A 19,580-nucleotide genomic window follows, 5' to 3' on the forward strand; every position below is an offset into this window, starting at 1 on the left:
TAAATTACAACACTTTATTGCAGCATCGGCAAAGGTCAGATTTCTGAAGCTGGTGAAGATTGGGCAGCATTTCCATGTGAAATGTTACAACTTTACAAGTTTTGTTTTTTATTTAAATCTACATGCAGAAACTGAAACATGGTAAAAGAAAAAATGCAAAATAGCTAGAAAAAAAGATGTAATCAAGTTGTCGCATACAGATGTGCTCTCCGACTAAATATACTACGCCTGCTGGAAAGCAAACCAAAGACAGCTGTCCTAAGAAATTAACAGATTGTCAGAAACAGACTAAGGACCCTCATTTCTATTTAGTGGGGGAAAACAAAAAAAAAAACAAAACAAAAACAAAAGCAAAATAAAAGCTCTACTTGTTTCCATACTTTGTTTAGAGACAGAGGCTGTAAACCCATGAAGGTCAACAAAATATTCTCATCCACTTCTTGTTGTCCTTCGTTCGTTTTCTGTGACATGTTGACGGGCATGTTTTGTTTTCAATGATACTTACAATGGGCTCACCTAGATCCCTGTTCTTGGGCTGGTATCACTTTTCTAAGCCATCTGAATTAATGCTCTCTGTATAGTAAAATAGTCTCCACATTTTTCTTTTACCTTAATAGGCAATTTTATAGCACTGACTCTGATGGATAAAACGGATTTTTCTCCCTCATCCCTTGTTCCTCTTGAAACAAATTCCTAAACAAAAGCCTTCCTGGTGGATTATCTGGTATTTGGATATCTTTCATCATTTTGTTGTCCTGCATGTAAGTTTTACTAGAAGATTTTCCTGCTTGCTCTATACTTTTCTACTGTAGTCCTGGAGCCCCCAAATGTATCTTCTTCCAACGTGGGATGTTCAATTCAGAGACACTGAAACTCAAATCAAGTTTAAAGCTCAAGTTCATTTCCCCCACACCATTACCATCACAACCCGTTTCTTCTCTGGCTCAATCATCTCCTTCACGCTCTCCTTGGTGTAACTGCTCAGTAGTCAAGTGAACCATCTCATTTCTTGACTGCCATTCTCAAGAGAAGATTAACCCTCGCGAGATTTCCATTACAAAAGGCCTTTTCCGCCTTGTCTGGAAGCGTCGGCTTGTTCCGGTGTTGGCAGAGGCTGGTGTTTCTGCCTCCTGGCCCCAGCCTGTCCCAGGTTTAGATTCGCAACTCTCTAGACCGACCTGCTGAGATGTGTCCACTGCTCTCATTCAATTGCTGGAGGACTCCACTAACCACAACATCAGATACAGGACCTAATGAAATGACACGTGCTGCTGGATCAACGTCTCCTAAAGGAACAAACAGGGTCACATCAGAGAGCTTACTGCCACAGGACAAAGTCCAGCAAGATGGCGTCTGCAACGCTACCCACCACCACCAAGTCACTCCCCCAAGTTACAGGTGGCCCTGGCATCTGCGGGTTCCACATCCATGGACCAAAAATATTCGGGGGAAAAAAACCCAAACAATAAAAAATAACATAAATATTAAAAACAATACAGTATATCAACTATCTCCATAGCATCTACACTTTATTAGGTATTACAAGTAATGTAGAGATGATGTAAAGTACACGGGAGGATGTGCATATGTTATACATAAATGCTACACCATTTTTTACCAGGGACTTGAATGTCTGTGCATTTTGGTGTCTGAGGGGATCCAGGAAGCAACCCCCTGTGGATACCGAGGACAACTGTAGTGCTTTTTTGAGAGCATTCATGCTCTCTACTGAGCTACAACTTAACCAGAGCCATTGGAGCAATGGCTGGAGGAGTGGCTCTGTTCTCTTCTACAACTTATTCTTAAGGTGCTAAGAATTCACAGTTTGTGTTATGGTTCAGTTGTGTATCCCCAAAATTCACATGTTAACACTGAACTGCAGGACCTCAGAATGTGACCGTATTTGGAAACAAGGTTGCTGTAGACGTAATTACTTCAGATAAGGCCATACTGGAGCAGGGTGGAGCCCTAATCCCATATGACTGCATCTCTATAAAAAGGGAAATTTGCACACAGACACACACAGGGGGAAAAGGCCACGTGAAGACAAAGGCGGAGACCAGGGTGAGGTATGACAAGGTATGGAAGCCAAAGACTGCCGGCACCCCCAGCAGTAGAAGGCAGGCCTGGAGCAGTCTTCCTCCAGGCCTCAGAAGGAACCAGCCCCGCTGACTCCCTGACCTCAGGTTTCCTGCCGGCGGCCTCCAGTGCTGCGAGACAACAGACATCTGTCGTTTAAGCTACTAGGGCTGTAATATTTTGTCATGGCAGCCCAAGCAGATGAACAGTTTGTTTCTTACAGAGCAAGCTACCTTAGCAAGAAACTTTCAAAGCGTTAAGATGCAAATATGGAAAAGTATATCCTCAGCTGGATAAGATCCGTAACTCTTCCAGAAATGAACTGATGGAAAGAACACAAGTATTCCCTGAGGGAATGAAAGAGAAGATTCAAGCATCTCTCCTGAAGTCAAGAAAAGGCAGCTATCTAACCTAGAATACTTTAAATAAATGCAGTAAATGACAGGAAAAAAATGTTCAAAATCTTTGCTAAGTAAGGTATAGTTATATCACTAGTTATAGTGTAAGGTGTCATTTGACTGGTTTATAAGCAAACAATCATTCTGAGTGACTCAAAAATCTATCAGCTCAAAAACTGTTTATTAATACAATATACACTTTGGATTAAATGCAATTCTACAATGGACTCTATTGTATAACAAAACTATCACTAATTTAACCTTACATAAAGATATATAAAAAAAAAATCTGATGAAAAAATGCAGACTCTACTTAAGATAGGTTTACAAGAGTTCAATATCAGCCTGGGCAACATAGTGAGACCTCGACTCCACTAAAAATAAAAAAAATTAGCCATTTGTAGTGGTGTGTGCCTATAGTCCCAGATACTGAGAGGCTGAGGCAGGACTGCTTGAGCCCAGGAGGTCGAGGCTGCGGTGACCTGTGATCACGCCACTGTACTCCAGCCTGGGTGACAGAGCAAGAACCTGTCTCAAAAACAAAATAAAACAACAACAAAATCATTTTTAAAAAGATGGGTTTAAAAGTCAGATAGTATACTCCTATGCCGCTAAGTGTAGGCCACACACCAGCAGTTTTGACATCACTGGAGATCTTGTTTAAAAGTAACCAGAGCTTGTTGTGCTCACTTCAGCAGCACATATACTAAAAATTGTAGTGATACAGAGAAGACTAGCATGGCCCTGTGCAAGGATGACATGCAGGTGGGGTGCAGTGGCTCACGCCTGTACCCTCAGCACTTTGGGAGGCTAACGCAGGCAGATCACTTGAGGTCAGGAGTTTTGGAGACCAGCCTGGCCAACATGGTGAGACCTCATCTCTACTAAAAATACAAAAATTTGGCTGGGCGCGGTGGCTCATGCCTGTAATCCCAGCACTTTGGGAGGCCGAGGAGGGTGGATCATGAGGTCAGGAGTTCAAGACCAGCCTGGCCAAGATGGTGAAACCCCGTCTCTACTAGAAATACAAAAATTAGCCAGGTGTGGTGGCAGGTGCCTGTAATCCCAGCTACTCGGGAGGCTGAGGCAGAGAATTGCTTGAACCCGGGAGGCGGAGGTTGCAGTGAGCAGAGATCACGCCACTGCACTCCGATATAGCGAGACCCCATCTCAAAAAAAAAAAAAAAAAAATTAGCTGGGCGTGGTGGCACATGCCTGTAATCACAGCTACTTGGGAGGCTGAGGCACAAGAATTGCTTGAACTCGGGAGGCAGAGGTTGCAGTGAGCCGAGATCCCGGCACTGCACTCCAGCCTGGGCAACAGAACAAGACTCCATCTCAAAAAACAACAAAAAAGAATGACACACAAATTCGTGAAGCTTTCCACAATAATTAAAAAATAATAATAAAAGAAACTAATCAGAACTTGCTTTTTAGTAAGAGTCTAGAGAGTTAATACGTATTTTAAAGTTTGAGAAGCATTGAAATAACCCATATGAATTAGTACCATCTAAGCCATGTAAGTATTAACACTTGCCAAAAATGTTAAGTTTCACAGATTTTCAATACTAGTGTATTAGAAAAACAACCTTGTTCTGCAATACAGAAAACCCTACATAATAGTTTTACTTACAGCACTGCTGCCGTTTCAACTCATTGTAAGCAAATGCCTCTTATTTGTTAAAGGGCTGAAATTTTAATTTATGTCCTTATTTCAAGGATCTCCTGGTTAGAAAATATACAAATACAAATTAAAATCTGGGAGTCCATCAAAAGCTACAGGAGAAAAATAGTTTATGCCGGGCGTGGTGGCTGACACCTATAATCCCAGCACTTTGGGAGGTCCAGGCAGGCAGATCACCTGAGGTCAGGAGTTCAAGACCAGCCTGGCCAACATGGCGAAACCATGTCTCTATTAAAAATACAAAAATTAGTCAAGAGTGGTGGACTGCATACCTGTAATCCCAGCCACTCGGGAGGCTAACAGAAGAATCACTTGAACCCAGGAGGTGGAGGGTGCACTGAACTGAGATTGTGTCACTGCACTCCAGCCTGGGTAACAGAGCAACATGTCGTCTCAAAAAAAAAAATCTTTTTTTTAAACTACTTTTTTTTTTGAGACAGGGTCTGGCTCTGTCGCCCAACCTGGAGTGCAGTGGTGTGATCTGGCAGTCTCTGCCTCCTGGGCTCAAGCGATCCTTCCACCTCGACCTCCCAAAGTGCTGAGATTACAGGCGTGAGCCACTGCTCCTAGACCTAAACTACTTTATAATCAGTTTCCAAATAAATTTCCCTTTATCTGCTGTATAACATTACTAATATTAATAACTGATTTTTTTTAATAGAGTTTCGCTCTTGTTGCCCAGGCTGGAGTGCAATGGCGCAATCTTGGCTCACTGCAACCTCACCTCCCAGGTTCGAGTGATTCTCCTGCCTCAGACTCCCGAGTAGCTGGGATTATAGGTGCCCGCCACCATGACCGGCTAATTTTTCTAATTTTAGTAGAGACGGGGTTTCACCATGTTGGTCAGGCTGGTCTCGAACTCCTGACCTCAGGTGATCTGCCTTCCTCGGCCCCCCAAAGTGCTGGGATACAGGTATGAGCCATCACAACCAGCCTTAAAATGTAAATTTTAAAAAAGGCAAAGAACATCTGGTCCTCTAAAGGGTAAAATCTCATGTTTCCATGTTTGTTCATCTACCATGTTTATCGCACCTATACTTTAGGAGCATTGACTATAAAAATTCCATTCGTGATACTTTACAGAGTGCTATTCTTAAGACTGATGGACAAGTTAGGTTTTCTTTTTTTAAGGTGCTATTTTAAGAAAAGATCTTAAAACAGGTTGAGTGGCTAGCTCAAAAGCTAGGACTCTTACAAAAAAGAAAAACAGAGGGAAGAGCTAGGGAGCAGAACTGGAATGAGAACGTTTATTCAGTGACTGAACACAGACTGTGAAAAGTTCTTTTGTCCATTCACCAAATATTTACTGAGCACCTACTAGGTGCCAGGCACCAAGAGCTGTGAAGGAGACAGAATGGAAACAACATGAGACTTGGTCCCAGCCCTCATCGCCTGTAATCTCATGGGGAATAGAGACAAGCTAAGCGGCACTTAAGGAGGACAAGGTCTGCAGAAATACCATAAGTCATGGCAGCAGATCCGCACTGACCTATGTCAGACTCAGGAACACCAAGGCAGGACCCGAAGGAGCAGGAGTTCTCCAGGGGAACAGCTGGAGACTGTTCCACACAGAGGAGGCAAAAAGAACACAGAACTAAAGGTCAGCTAGGCTGCAGCAGGAGAAAGAACAGCAGGAGATGAAGCCAGTAATGTATGTCCACCTGCACCACAGGGCCTTGGGAACCAAGTTGAGGAGTTTAGACTTTTTATCCTACAAGCCACGAGGAGCCATTGGATGATTTTAAGCAGAAGGGCACACACAGATATCAAATTTGTGTTTTAGAAAGAACACTGGGTCTATAGCGGGAGAATGAATTGGAAAGGGTTGAAGGTTGAGACGGAGAGGCTGATGAGGAGGCTGAGGCAGCAACAGCAATCCAGGCAAGAGGTGATGGTGGCTTGACCCATGGTCTTGGCTATGGGCAGAGAATAGAAAAGGCAAGAGTGAGGGCCATTTGGGAGCAGAATGCAGAGGATTTGCTAATGAACTACATTTAGGGATTGAGGGAGGAGGAGCTGTCAATAACACAACTTCCTTTTCTTTTGTGGACAAGAGGGCAGACAACGCTTCCTCTCCCTGCACTGGAGACCCTGGGGAAGAGGAGTCTGGGGCAGGGGCACGAGTCTTCCATCTCTGAGTCACAGTGGGGTGGAAAGTCAGAAATGAAAATGTGAGATCTGGGCTGGAGACCTGGATGGAAGTCAGGCCACTGGGAGGGATGACACCTCCTTTGAGAGTGCAGAAGGAGAAGAGGGCCCAGGCTGAGCCCAAGGAACACAGACATCCCTAGGCAGGGAAGCGCAGAAAGGAGGCAGTGTCAGCAGCAGGAGCCACAGTGATCGCGGGAAGGGAAAACCCAGAAGCCAGCAGAATCACAGATGCCAAGGAAGGGTCTGTTGGGAGAACAAGGAGGGCCTACAATGCAAAGTGCTGCTGAGATGAGGCCAAGAGATGGCAGGTGGGGATGCCAGTGATGGCAGAAGCTGCCTAGACCTAGGGACTGAGAAGGTGACAGGAGTCAATAATGAACCTCTTTTCTAGCATAGCCACTGGGGTGGGCAATGCCTCCCACTGCCAGCTGTGACTTGGCAGGGGTAAGCCACCCAAGTGGGAGCAAGGAAGAAGGGGCAAGTGTAGCCGATTCTTCCAAGGAGGAATTGGAGGGAGGAAGGGAAAATAGAAAGTGAAGGAACTCTGCAAAGTGACTAACACCGGTAACCAGGTTAAGAAAGGCTTACCTCTGTTCACACGCACGTCGATGACAGCACACACATGCTCACGTCGATGACAGCACACACATGCTTACATATCTCCTGCCTGGTCCTTAACAGACTCTCACCCAAGGTTTTTGAAACAGACAAATGAAGAGGGTGGAATTATCTTTCAAGTACCCATACTCGGCTTCCCTACTGGACCACAACCGTGCAGGTAAAGACCCTGTCTTGTACTCCATCTTCCACAGTGCAGTCCTGGATGAGTGTACACGGAGGGAGGCAAATCCTACTGGATGCCCCTTATGTCATCCAACTCCATAGTGAGTCTACACAAATTACTAAGACACTATACTTGCGATACATGAATTGTGAGGGGGTTAGGGATTAATAAAAACGTGCTATTCAGAGACGTTAGGCTGCAATATGAACAGGTGAAGATGATGGAAAACATCAAGATATTATGCTGGTGCAAAAGTAATTGCAGTTTTTCCCATTACTTTTATTGGCAAAAACCGCATTACTTTTTACCAACCGAAATACAAATATTCTAACAGTTTTGGTCTCTGATGATGAGACAGGAGGGAATAGATGTTATCAAGAACACTGTGGCATATATTTAAAGCTACTCTAAGAAAATGCAAAAGCAGGAAATGAACATTTTTCATTGCCTGTTAACCTAGCTAGTGTCCACATTTTAGCAGCAATAAAACAGGCTTAATTAAAGGACTTTAATAAAGTTTGGATAATTAAAAATAACCTAATATCTTATTGTGCCTAATTAGATGGGTTTACAGGTCATTTCCAACTTGGATTTTTTTTTTAAATTATACTCAACAGATGCTAAAGAACAGATCTCTAAACTGTCTTGACAAGCCAGTTTTCTACATTACAATTTGATTAGAGTTATCTGAGCAAATAGTTCAAAGATGCCACCAGAACACATGAATATGTTCAGTGATGTCCAGTGAGTAACAGACACAGGCTCTGATGACTACATTTTCCCCCATGCTACCCTCCTGAATCATGATCTAATTCTGCCAGCCCCAGCACACTCCCCATCTACACCTGCTCCCCTGCTCCCAACAACAAAGTGACATCTTGGGCTGTTGTAGAGCCTCGGTTTAAACACTAATCCACTAAGTGAGATCAGTAAGGGCAGCAGAAGCCACTGTCCCTTTAACTTAACCGCAAGACAAAATTAATTGAGGTGGGTGGACCACCTGAGGTTAGGAGTTCGAGACCAGCCTGGCCAACATGGTGAAACCCCATCTCTACTAAAAACACAAAAATTATCCAGGCGTGCTGGGTGGGCACCTGTAATACCAACTACTTGGGAGGCTGAGGCAGGAGCATCACTTGAACCCGGGAGGTAGAGGTTGCAGAGAGCCAAGATCACGCTGCTGCACTCCAGCCTGGGTGACAGAGTGAGATTCGGTCTCAAAAAAAAGAACAAAATTAGTTGATGATATGGGTCTTTAGATCATGTCCCAGAAACACTTTAAATTACTTACCCTTAAAAAACATAAAAGAGGCCGGGCGCAGTGGCTCACGCCTGTAATCCCAACACTTTGGGAGGCCGAGGCGGGCGGATCACGAGGTCAGGAGATCGAGACCATCCTGGCTAACACGGTGAAACCCCGTCTCTACTAAAAATACTAAAAATTAGCCGGGCCTGGTGGCGGGCGCCTGTGGTCCCAGCTACTCGGGAGGCTGAGGCAGGAGAATGGCGTGAACCCGGGAGGCAGAGCTTGCAGTGAGCAGAGATGGCGCCACTGCATTCCAGCCTGGGCGACAGAGCCAGACTCCGCCTCAGAAAAAAAAAAAACTAAAAACCATAAAAGAGGTCTTATTAGGGAACATCTTCATTTTCAAATTCTTTATAGAGTTTTAAATTATCTCACATTAAACAATTTAACTTTAAGTGGAACTGGTAGGAATTCCATCAGGAAATTTTATAATTTAAAAAAACAGGCCGGGCATGGTGGCTCACGCCTGTAATCCCAGCACTTTGGGAGGCCAAGGCGGGCAATCACCTGAGGTGAGGAGTTCGAGACCAGCCTGGCCAACATGGTGAAACCCTGTCTCTACTAAAAATACAAAAATTAGCCAGATGCGGTGGCATGCCCTATTGTCCCAGCTACTCGGGAGGTTGAGGCTGGAGAATCGCTTGAACCAGGAGACAGAGGTTGCAGTGAGCCGAGATCACGCCACTGCACTCCAGCCTGGGCGACAGAGCAAGACTGTGTCTCAAAAAATAAATAAGTAAGAGCTTAGGAACAAACTCTACTTGCATGGTTAAAAGTCTAGAAAATAGATTTTTAGTTTTTGTAAACATCGATATTAATTAACCCTGACCTGAGAAATTCTAACACAAAGCCTATGATGTCTCTCTCTTGCTCATCTATAACAACTCCTTCCTATTAAAGCAAAAGAAGAAAAAAGAAGTCCACTCAGACAGGACAAAAGCCAAGATCTAGCTGAAACCAATGTCTTTGTAAGAACAGCCACGTGGGCAGATGGCTTGAGCTCAGGAGTTCGAGACTAGCCTACACAATATGGCGAGACTCTGTCTCTACAAAAGACATACAAATTAGCCAGGTATGGTGGTGCATGCCTATAGTCCCAGCTACTTGGGAGGCTGATGTGGGAGGATCACTTGAGCCCAGGAGGGTGAGGCTGTAGTGAGTGAGTTGCGATTGTGCCACTGCACTTCAGCCTGGACGACAGAGCAAGACCTTGTCTCAAAAAATAAAAATAAAAATAAAAAAAACAGAACAGCCATACTATGGTATAAAGCAGGTTTTTCCCCCTCAAATATCTACTTTTCTATTTTGCTAAAATATCAAAGACTTTTCTATTTTGCTAAAAATCGGGCCTTTGCCAAAAACTATAATCCAGAATTCCCTAATTTATTCTTATGGACATCATGGAAACAAACAGCTAAGGAAGGAGTAATGACTGCTTTACCTCCCACCAGTCTTAAAGATTAGATCTGCATTAGGTGCTCCCTTCGGATGTTGGTAGCGAGGCCGCCTCTCACGATTGGTGTTTGCTGGAGCTGGGCGCTGTGCAAGAGACTGCAACATTTCTGTAATTAGGAGCAAAAAAAGAGAATGCTGTTAACTCTTAGAAATGTACTCCTCCTACAGAGTGAACGAAATGTTGGGGAGATTAAGTTTATTAGTCCTGTCAGGGAGCTGACTAAAGAAAAATAGCCATTATACAGACTAAAATGATTAAGAAGTTTTAAAAGAGCATTATCAAGAGAGGAGACTCTTTTAATACCCAATGTTCCCTTTACTATGAATCTAGCCACCACATAGCTATATTATGAGGCAGTAGAAAAGCCTAAGAGGCAGTGCATTGCAATAGCTAAGAGCATCGTGTGTAGAGCGAGACTACTGGTTAATATCCCAGCTCTGTCACTTTCTAGCTGTGAGACTTTAGGTTCAATTTCCCTCAATGTAAAATGCAGATAACAACAACACTTATCTCAAAGAATTGTTATGAGGATTATATGCTTTGAAAAAGTACATAAAACAGTGTCTGGCCAAAGAGTAAGCACCCAGTGTTAGCTATTATCATTAAGAATGTTGGAGCCGGGTGTGGCGGCTCATGTCTGTAACCCTACCACTTTGGGATGCAGAGGCGGGAGGACTGCTCAAGCTCAGGAGTTCAAGATGAGCTTGGGCAACATAGCAAGATCCCCTCTCTACAAAAAATTAAAAATTAGCCAGGTATGGTGGCACATGTCTGTAATCTTAGCTACTTGGGGGCTGAGGCAGAGGCAGAAGGATCACTTGAGCCCAGGAGTTTGAGGCTGCAGTGATTGCGCCACTGCACTCCATCCAGCCTGGGTGACAGAGGAAGGCTCTTAAAACAAACAAAAACACTGTTGGGTATCGACTGGGAGAGAACATTCTACAAGTGAGATTAAAAGATTGGAAACCACAAATACTGATTTACACACACTCTCCTGCACAGATGGCGGTTTATTCATTCAGTACAGTGCTGTAGAAACAACTATTACGGCTGTAAAATCTGCATACCACAGGAACACCAAAACGCTAGCCTATGAAGTCTCCATGGACTCGATGTGTAAGGTTCCAACTAACTGAAAAATGCTGGGTATGTATGCATAAAATGAGAATCCTAATTTGAGTATTTCCTCAAATCTGAAGGAACACAGCTTCCTCAAGACCAGGACTCCAAGTAGACAAAAGGAGGTAAATACAGTCGTGTGCCGCGTGACCATGTTCCAGACAATGACAGACACCTATACAATGGTGGTCCCATCAGTTCATAACAGCTACACCATACAGCCTCAGTGTGTAGTAGGCTACACCATCTAGGTTTGTCAAGTACACTCTATGATGTTTGCACAATGATGAAATTGCCTAATGTCACATTTTTTAGAATGCATCCCTGTCATTAAGCAAGGCATACTGTTTGTTAAATGAATCTGCACACAACTGGCTGGCAATGTGAAGCAATTAAAAATTGATTATCACCTTGCTTGCAAACGTAGCTTAGCAGTTTATACTCTAATTTAATTAGAGCAAAATATGGTGAAAATTATATTATTGTTATTTTACAAATAAGTGAAAGAAAAACAGTGGGATACAAAATGAATTTCTCAGCATAAATATGGAAAAATATGACATGAGAAGATGAGACAAAATAACAATTTTGATGCTCAAAAGGCAACAAAAATTTCCACTTCTCTTATAGATGATTTTATACCTTGATAATCTTCTTGTTCTTGCCGTTCATTGATATCTAGTGTGAGCTTTTTCATTCTCATCCTCTCTTCTTGTTCTGCCTGTTGCTGGTTCCAGTGATTTGCAGCAAGTTGAGAGGACATGGGTACATTAAGGATCTTAAACTGGGAGAAAATAACAAAGGAGTTACAAATAGTTTGAGAACACTGAGAGAAAGAAAAAACAGACTTCAAATAAAATAGCAAGTACAGGCTGGGCACGGTGGCTCACGCCTGTAATCCCAGCACTTTGGGAGGCCGAGGCGGGCGGATCACGAGGTCAAGAGATCAAGACCATCCAGGCCAACATGATGAAACCCCGTCTTTACTAAAAACACAAAAATTAGCTGGGTGTGGTGGCATGCACTTGTAGCCCCAGCTACCCGGGAGGCTGAGGCAGGAGAACTGCTTGAACCCAGGAAGCGGAGGTTGCAGTGAGCCGAGATTGTGCCACTGCACTCCAGCCTGGGCAAAAGAGCAAGACTCCAACTCAATTAAAAAAAAAAAAGGTAGATAGATAATTTCTTAATCATCATGAACTGGAAGTTGCAACTCTAAGATGTTTTTATCTAAACACTCAGAAATAAAACAGGGTGGCCATTTTTCCCCCTTTTTAGGTTCCTGATGATAAAATTTGAAATTTCCTTCATAATCTACTAATAAGCCTAATGATGATGGTACTAATCACAATAATAAAATAGTATAAAACATTATAAAGAAAATTTCGTAATGTGATCAAAAAAGGTGAGAAATATAGGCTTTCTTATTCACGTATAAGATTAACAATTTCTTCGTTTAGATCTTCTAAAGGGAAACAATTATAAATAAAAGATGAACAAAAACACATTTTATGAACTCTGAGACAAGTTTTACAAAAGGCAAAGTTCTCAAGTATTATGTACTTAAAAAAAACATAAAAGAGACAGTAATAAATACGGGGAAATGAAGAGACAAATTTACTGATGGCCACCTTTGCCTACTGCCTTTACTGCAGAGCTGCTAAGATACTATTAACAGAGACACACTACTTTATAGCAAATTAGATGATAAAAATATTGAAGTCACTCAAACTAAATTTCCTGAACATAATAGCAATGAAGGTGATTTAGCTGATATTTTGCAGCTACTCCATGACTGTAGCTAAAATTAAAAAACATACAATCCCAAGTTACTATGACATGTAACTATCAATTATTCTAGTCAAAATACAACAAATAACTCCTTATATAAATATTAATTGCAAAAATGGTTTGTCTGCCAGTATTAAACTATACTATGTTATGCATTTGTTTGAATAAAAAAGCTTTTTAAAGCATTTTATAACATTTATATTACATTAAAACTTGTTTTAATTGACATTTATTATTCTAATTCAGAAATATTTAAATCTAGAAAAAAATAAATGGCTAAAAGCATTATCTTTTTCTTTCTCTGCAACTACTCACTTCATTGGTGCAATGTTTTTTCCCCTAATGACCACAACAGAAAGTTATTTCTGAGTACAAATTTGATGCACAAAGAGGTCTTTCACTTAAAATCCAAAGATTCCTATAAGGCAAGACATTTCACATTTGTAGAAAAACCGTTGCACCAGAAGGGCCAACACCCAAAAGCCAAATAAAGGAATAAAAATCAGAACAAAATCTACTTTCTTTTTCAGACCACAACATACCAGCGATGTTTCTTCAAATAATGTTCCAAAAAACTGAATATTTTCCAAAATTCCAAATAAAGTTTAGAAGCACTGAAAATTTACTTAATAACCAAGTACTCTGAGTTTTCATTTCATGTCTGCTAATATTTTTAAAATTTAGTAATAATATATCCTTAAAAATTAAAATTTAAACTAAATGCTACATTTTAAGAAACAAGGACTTCAAATTCATTTACATAAAATTACATAAGCCACCCGGTTTATAATCTACCTACTTTGAACCAAAAATATTCCTTCTAAAATACACATAATCTTATTTTGACCCATACAATTTAGAATTTCAGACTGCTGGAGTATACTTATTTTCCAAAGCCCACAAGTTTCTTTTAAGTAGGCATTGATTAATTTATTTTCAATTCCTACACGTTCTATAAGGGCCAGATGGGGTGTAGAGTTGACAAAGGTGTTAATGAATATTCATGTACTTCATGAAAGGGAGGAAGGAAAAAAACTCATTATTTACTGTTGTACAATCTGACCTTCAAAAAGAGATATTCCTAAACTCTCTTTTAGTTAACAAAAATCATGGCCTTCCTGTGCCAATGTAACAGCATTATCTAGCAGCTGTGCAGGAATGGAGACCAAGGTATATCTAGCTGAAGCTGCCATGTACTGCCCTCCACAATTCAACAGACAGATATGTGCATGTGTGCATGCCTTCCAACTTTACAGCCTAATTACCTTTAGAAACTGTGTGCCAAGAAAGCCGGTGATGGGGGGAATGGAGGAGGAAGCTAAGAGTTTTTAAAGAGAAAGAGAATGAAGGAGATCTAAAACGTGATAACTGAAATAGTAAAGTCTGGTTCAGAGAATTAAATAGTCCCTAGAAAAGCAAAAATGCTGGGATTTGTGAATCCTCGTAACAGTGGTGAATTAGCATTTCCAGGTGCTCTGAGGACAGCAGTCTTAGCAAAGATCTCAGGACAATGCCAAATTTAGGGCCTGATTTTTTAAAAAGCTCTCATTTTCCTCACAGATAGAGAATGGAGAGTAAAGGAATGGGGATGTGCCAGAGCCCAACCCTGGTCGAAGGAGGGGAGGGGTGTGGCTCTCCTGAAAGCACCAGGAGGCCTGGCTGGAGCCTGGACTGGAGGCAAGGCCGGACGATGGCAGTGTCTGAGGAAGATTCAGCAATGCTCTGATCCTGTCAAAGTTAACTCTCAATACATGAGTCATGCCGTGAAGTCTTTGCCAGCTCCACACTCCATGATTATTTTATTTATTTATTTCTTTTTTTGAGACGGAGTCTCGTTCTGTCGCCCAGGCTGGAGTACAATGGTGTGATCTTGGCTCACTACAACCTCCACCTCCTGGGTTCAAGTGATTCTCCTGCCTCAGCCTCCTGAGTAGCTGGGATTACAGGCACACGCCACCAAGCCTGGCTAATTTTTGTATTTTTAGTAGAGACGGGGTTTCACTATGTTGGTCAGGCTGGTCTTGAATCCCTGACCTTGTGATCCGCCCGCCTTGGCCTCCCAAAGTGCTGGGATTACAGGTGTGAGCCACTATGCCCGGCCACACACCACAATTCTAATTGGTATATAGGTGGTATCACTGCAGCAACAAGTAGTATACTGCTCAAGTATATCACTTTCATGCTGTACAAGTATATCACTTGTATACTGCACAAGTATAGTGCACAATTTTGATCTCGGTGTACATGAGAAGTTGCCTGACAAATGCAGGGATAAAATTTAGGCATCATCTGTTTGAGGCTGTGCTAGTGGGGAGGACATCTCAGATGCAACTTATTGTAGGGTCTTCCCTGATCATCCTACCTAAGAGGCAGCCTCCCTCTCCTGGCATCTCACCATCCGTGTCTCTTTCTATCCTCTTACCCTGCTTTATCCTCCTTGGTAGCCATCCCAACGTGACTTGGTGTATTTCTCATATGCCTCCCAACACCAGAATGAAAGCTCGCAAGAGAGGAAGGACTCTGGCTAACTGCCTCTATATTCTGCACACAGAAGTGCCTGGTGTGTAGCAGGTAAATAATAAATACTTGTTAAATGACTGTGTAGACGAATGTGGTATTGGACTTGTCTAAGATAACTGTGGCAGCTACCATATGCAACAAAATCTAACATTCTATTAATTCTAAGATACACCATTATTTTACTTATCACTAAAGCAGAAAGAAATGCTGTCAGTTAACACAGGATTTCATGGACTCTAAGAAGCAACTTGATCTCAGAAATGTTAAGATGTAAACAAATTTTTACAGAATTGACCTAAATACACCTAAAGGTGTATCTGAAAGCTGGCCTATATTCTCTTCATACCATGTTTCACTATCTGCAAATATGTGCGTTTGTCTCTCTGCTCTCTCAGTAGGAGATAAGTTCCACAAGGGCAGGAACATTGTTCTGTTTATCACTGTAGCCTCAGGACCTGAAATAGAATAGTACCTGGCACGTAGTGATGCTCAATAGTTGACAAATCAACTATGGATCGCTAGAGTAACAGCTTGGTAGAGGGGGAAACGGTTTTGAGGGACCATCTTGTATGAAGGGGGAAAGGGCAAACAAGAAGAATGGAGAGGGATATGGAGAAGGGTTGGTGTGATTTTCAACTGACGGCAGCCGAGCCTCTTCCTGAGCTGCATCGGTTGCCATCCTCCTTTCCTTCCCCGCCTGGGGCTTGCTTGTGGAAGTTTGTGCTAGAAGTCAAGGTACTTACATATTCTTACAAACATGTATGATTTAAAACACATAAGGGGCCAAGTGCAGTTGCTCACGCCTATAATCCAAGCACTTTGGGAGGCCGAGATGGGCAGATCACCTGAGGTCAGGAGTTCCAGACCAGCCTGGCCAACATGGTGAAACCTTGTCTCTACTAAAAATACAAAAATTAGCCGGGCGTCATGGTGGACGCCTGTAATCCCAGCTACTCAGGAGGCTGAGGCAGAAGAATCGTTTGAACCTGGGAGGAGGAGGTTGCAGTGAGCCAAGACCCTGCCACTCCAGCCTGGGCGACAAAGTGAGACGCCGTCTCAAAAAAAACAAAAACAAAAACAAAAACAAAAACAAAAAAAACTATATAAGGGAAGAAATTATTCTACCACTGAATGGTTTAAAACTGTCCAACCCTTATCCCCTTGTAGGTCAAAGATAAGTTAAAACCTAACTGTATAACTCACAATCAGCTATAATTACAGGGCGGGCAGTTTCTTACCTGCTGTTTATTGCCTTTTCTTGTTAACATGACAAACGGCATTGTGTCTGCAGACTCAGCCTCTCCTTCCCCACCTCCCAGTGGGGGCCCTTTCCTCAGCTGGCTTTTGAGATGCAAAGGAATGGCAACATCTAGTTGGTGCACTTTAACAGATTCACCACTTCGTTGCTAAAAGAAATTAAAAAGGACATAATAAACACTCCAAGATATATACGGATATATGTCAATATAAATTGCAAACTCATTCAATGCTGTATTTCTTAAAACACAACAATCATAAGAGCCATAACAGTCAACAATTACAACCACCATAATACTCTTTCTGAAACGTGGATAAATCTAGGGAGTATTTCTCCCTCCACCTAACACCTCTGCCTATGACATGGAAGGAAATGCAGGACTTGGCTGCTGTTGACTGCTCCAGCCTCTCCCAAGCACGCAGTGCTGCGGGTTCTACCAAATCCCCCTGCTCCTCAAATACACTACACCCTTCTATTCATCCTCCTAGATCACATCTTCCTTCATAATCACCAGGCAAGGTGGGCTCATCACTGCATCCCTTTCTCCAGGGCTCCCCAGCAGGGCGTTACCCACAGCAGGAGTTCAGGGAGTACTGAAGAATGAATGGAATCTATGACCATTTGTATTAATTCCTTGGTTGGTAATATCAATTATTTTTAGCATTTACACTGAATTTTCCAACCAATTAATTAAATGAACCTTCACCGAAGACTTGCCATGTGTTACAGGCTTGGAGATAGTAATGTTAAAAATACTTAGCCTCTACACTCAAAGAGCTCATAAGCTTGTTAAGACAGATACAGAAACAATGATGATGATACATCATAGGTGTACAGCACCTGTGGAGGAGATGAAGTGACTACCTGTACCTGGCTGAGAGTGGTTGCGTGCCCTTCACGAAAGGCTGAATAGAAATGGCACATTTGAGAATGTTAAAGACTTCATAAACTTCTTCTAAGCAGATGGTAAAAGAGCAGTTTGGGGAATGCGGAGGGAATCGAGGCAGGGGAAGAACAGGTGCAAAGCAAGGACATGGACCAGCATGGTACACTTAGGGAACTGCAAACACATGACTGATGAATGAGCAGCAAAGAGGGACGAGCTGAATGTTCCAGGAAGGTAGGCAGGTCATGCTGAAAGGCCCTCAATGTCTTAGAAACTGCTCTACCACCATTTAAATAGTCTTCTGATATAGGCTCCATATATTCAAGAGACTTGCAAATCAAGCAAAATCCTGTTTTATTGTTTCTTTTTTAAGCTCTAGTTTATCATAATCTGCTTGAAGTCTTCCCAGGTTCGTAAGATTTATAAAGACTTTTTACTTAAAATTCAAAAGGATCACAATAGACAAATCTTGATTTTTCTCCTTGATTATAAAATTAACATATTCTTTTCATAAAATATTTAAATACAAAAATGTGTTGGTAAGTATGTCCATACTAACTCCTCCAGCGACTTCCCACTGCCCCAACCCCAAGATGCAACAACTATTAACAATGGAGTATGTTCTTTCGGATTTTTTCAACTATTAACAATGCAGTATGTTCTTTTGGATTTTTTCTTGCATATACTAATAATATATACATATAGACACAAGCAACCACAATGCATATTGCTGTACACTCAACATACATATTTTTTCTTCTGTTTAATCCTATATCTTGGTTATCTTTCTCTTTGAGTATATACAGAGCTAATTACATTGATATGCCCTTATTATTTAATTATTGACAGACAATTTTTTTTTTAAATGATCCTTCCCACACATGGAAGGACTTTTCTATCACAATGTGACATCTTTGTATATTTAGCTTTATAAAGAGAATTACTTACTAGGGGTAAATTTTTAGATCAACTGGCAAGCCCATTCGACAGGTTTACTGAATTTCCCTCTAAAAAAGCTGGACTGATAGACATTTACAAACCAAACCATTACTCAAACAAAACCACACTGGATATTATCACTTAGTAAATCCCAATATCTGATGGTCTGATAAGTGAAAAGGCTCATCTTAATTTGCATACTATTTTATTACTCATGACCTTTGGCATGATTTTGCCATTACCTTTCACACAATAAAAAAAAAAACTAGATCATTCATCATTTCTCATTGATTTGCTATAGTAAAAGTATTAGGCCTTTGTGTAGACCATAAATATTTTCTTCCTGGCCTGTCATTTCTTCAAGTTTCTTATAGCATCCTGTGCTAGAAGGCAACACAGTAAAACAGTTGAGAACAAACTCCACCACGTCCTAGCCATGTGGTCTTAAGCAAGTTTTTTTTTTGTTTTTTTTTTTTTTTTTTTTTTTTTTTTTGGAGACGGAGTCTCACTCTGTCCCCCCCATGCAGAGAGACTGTGCAGTGGCACAGTCTCAGCTCACTGAAACCTCTGCCTCCTGGGTTCAAGCGATTATCCTGTCTCAGCCTCCCAAGTAGCTGGGACTACAGGCACCCACCACCACAACCAGCTAATTTTTTGTATTTACTGGAGACGGGGTTTCACCGTGTTAGCTAGGAGGGTCTCGATCTCCTGACCTCGTGATCCTCCCACCTCGGCCTCCCAAAGTGATGGGATTACAGGCATTGAGCCACTGTGCCTGGCCAGCAAGTTTCTTGTCTTTCCAAGCCTCTGTTTCTTTAGCTAAAGCAAAGGAATACTAACAGTATCTGACAGCACTATGCAAAGAATAGATGTAAAGCACTTGATGCAGGGCCCAACAGTCTTCATAATTATTGGAGTGTTTGATAGATTTGCAATTAATTCTGCTGTGGAAATAAAACAGAACGTCAACTTTATTTTTGTTTATTGTCTGTTTTCCCTTAACTGATTTGCAACGTTATCTTCATCATATTACTAAACGGTCATGTTTTGGGTCTATTTTGGATTCTTCTCCATTTCATTAATCTGTTCCTGTATCAAACTATTATTGTCAGTTTAAAATGTTTTATCTTTTTTTTTTTTTAAGACGAAGTCTCGCTCTTGTCTCCCCCGGCTGGAGTGCAATGGCGTGATCTCGGCTCACTGCAACCTCCA

General features: G+C 41.8%; 1 protein-coding gene and 1 pseudogene across 3 annotated transcripts in view; one reads left to right on the forward strand and one right to left on the reverse strand.

Annotated features, from left to right (window-relative positions):
- UPF2 (UPF2 regulator of nonsense mediated mRNA decay) overlaps positions 1–19,580 on the reverse strand; it is a 123,149-nt gene continuing 103,569 nt past the window's right edge. For 2 of the 3 annotated variants that reach the window (NM_080599.3, NM_015542.4), the window contains exons 19-22: positions 16,524–16,691; positions 11,620–11,761; positions 9,844–9,964; positions 1–1,286 (exon numbers count right to left, since the gene is read on the reverse strand). In NM_080599.3, the coding sequence (NP_542166.1) occupies positions 1,277–1,286; positions 9,844–9,964; positions 11,620–11,761; positions 16,524–16,691 (441 nt within the window). In that variant the 3' untranslated portion in view covers positions 1–1,276. Of the gene's footprint in view, positions 1,287–9,764; positions 9,965–11,619; positions 11,762–16,523; positions 16,692–19,580 lie in introns of those variants that run through there. The other variant, XM_047424986.1, reaches the window with a different exon arrangement.
- On the forward strand, positions 3,160–3,267 carry RNU6-1095P (RNA, U6 small nuclear 1095, pseudogene; annotated as a pseudogene).

Source organism: Homo sapiens, chromosome 10 (assembly GCF_000001405.40).
Source record: "Homo sapiens chromosome 10, GRCh38.p14 Primary Assembly".
In the NCBI taxonomy this organism is placed as follows: domain Eukaryota; kingdom Metazoa; phylum Chordata; class Mammalia; order Primates; family Hominidae; genus Homo; species Homo sapiens.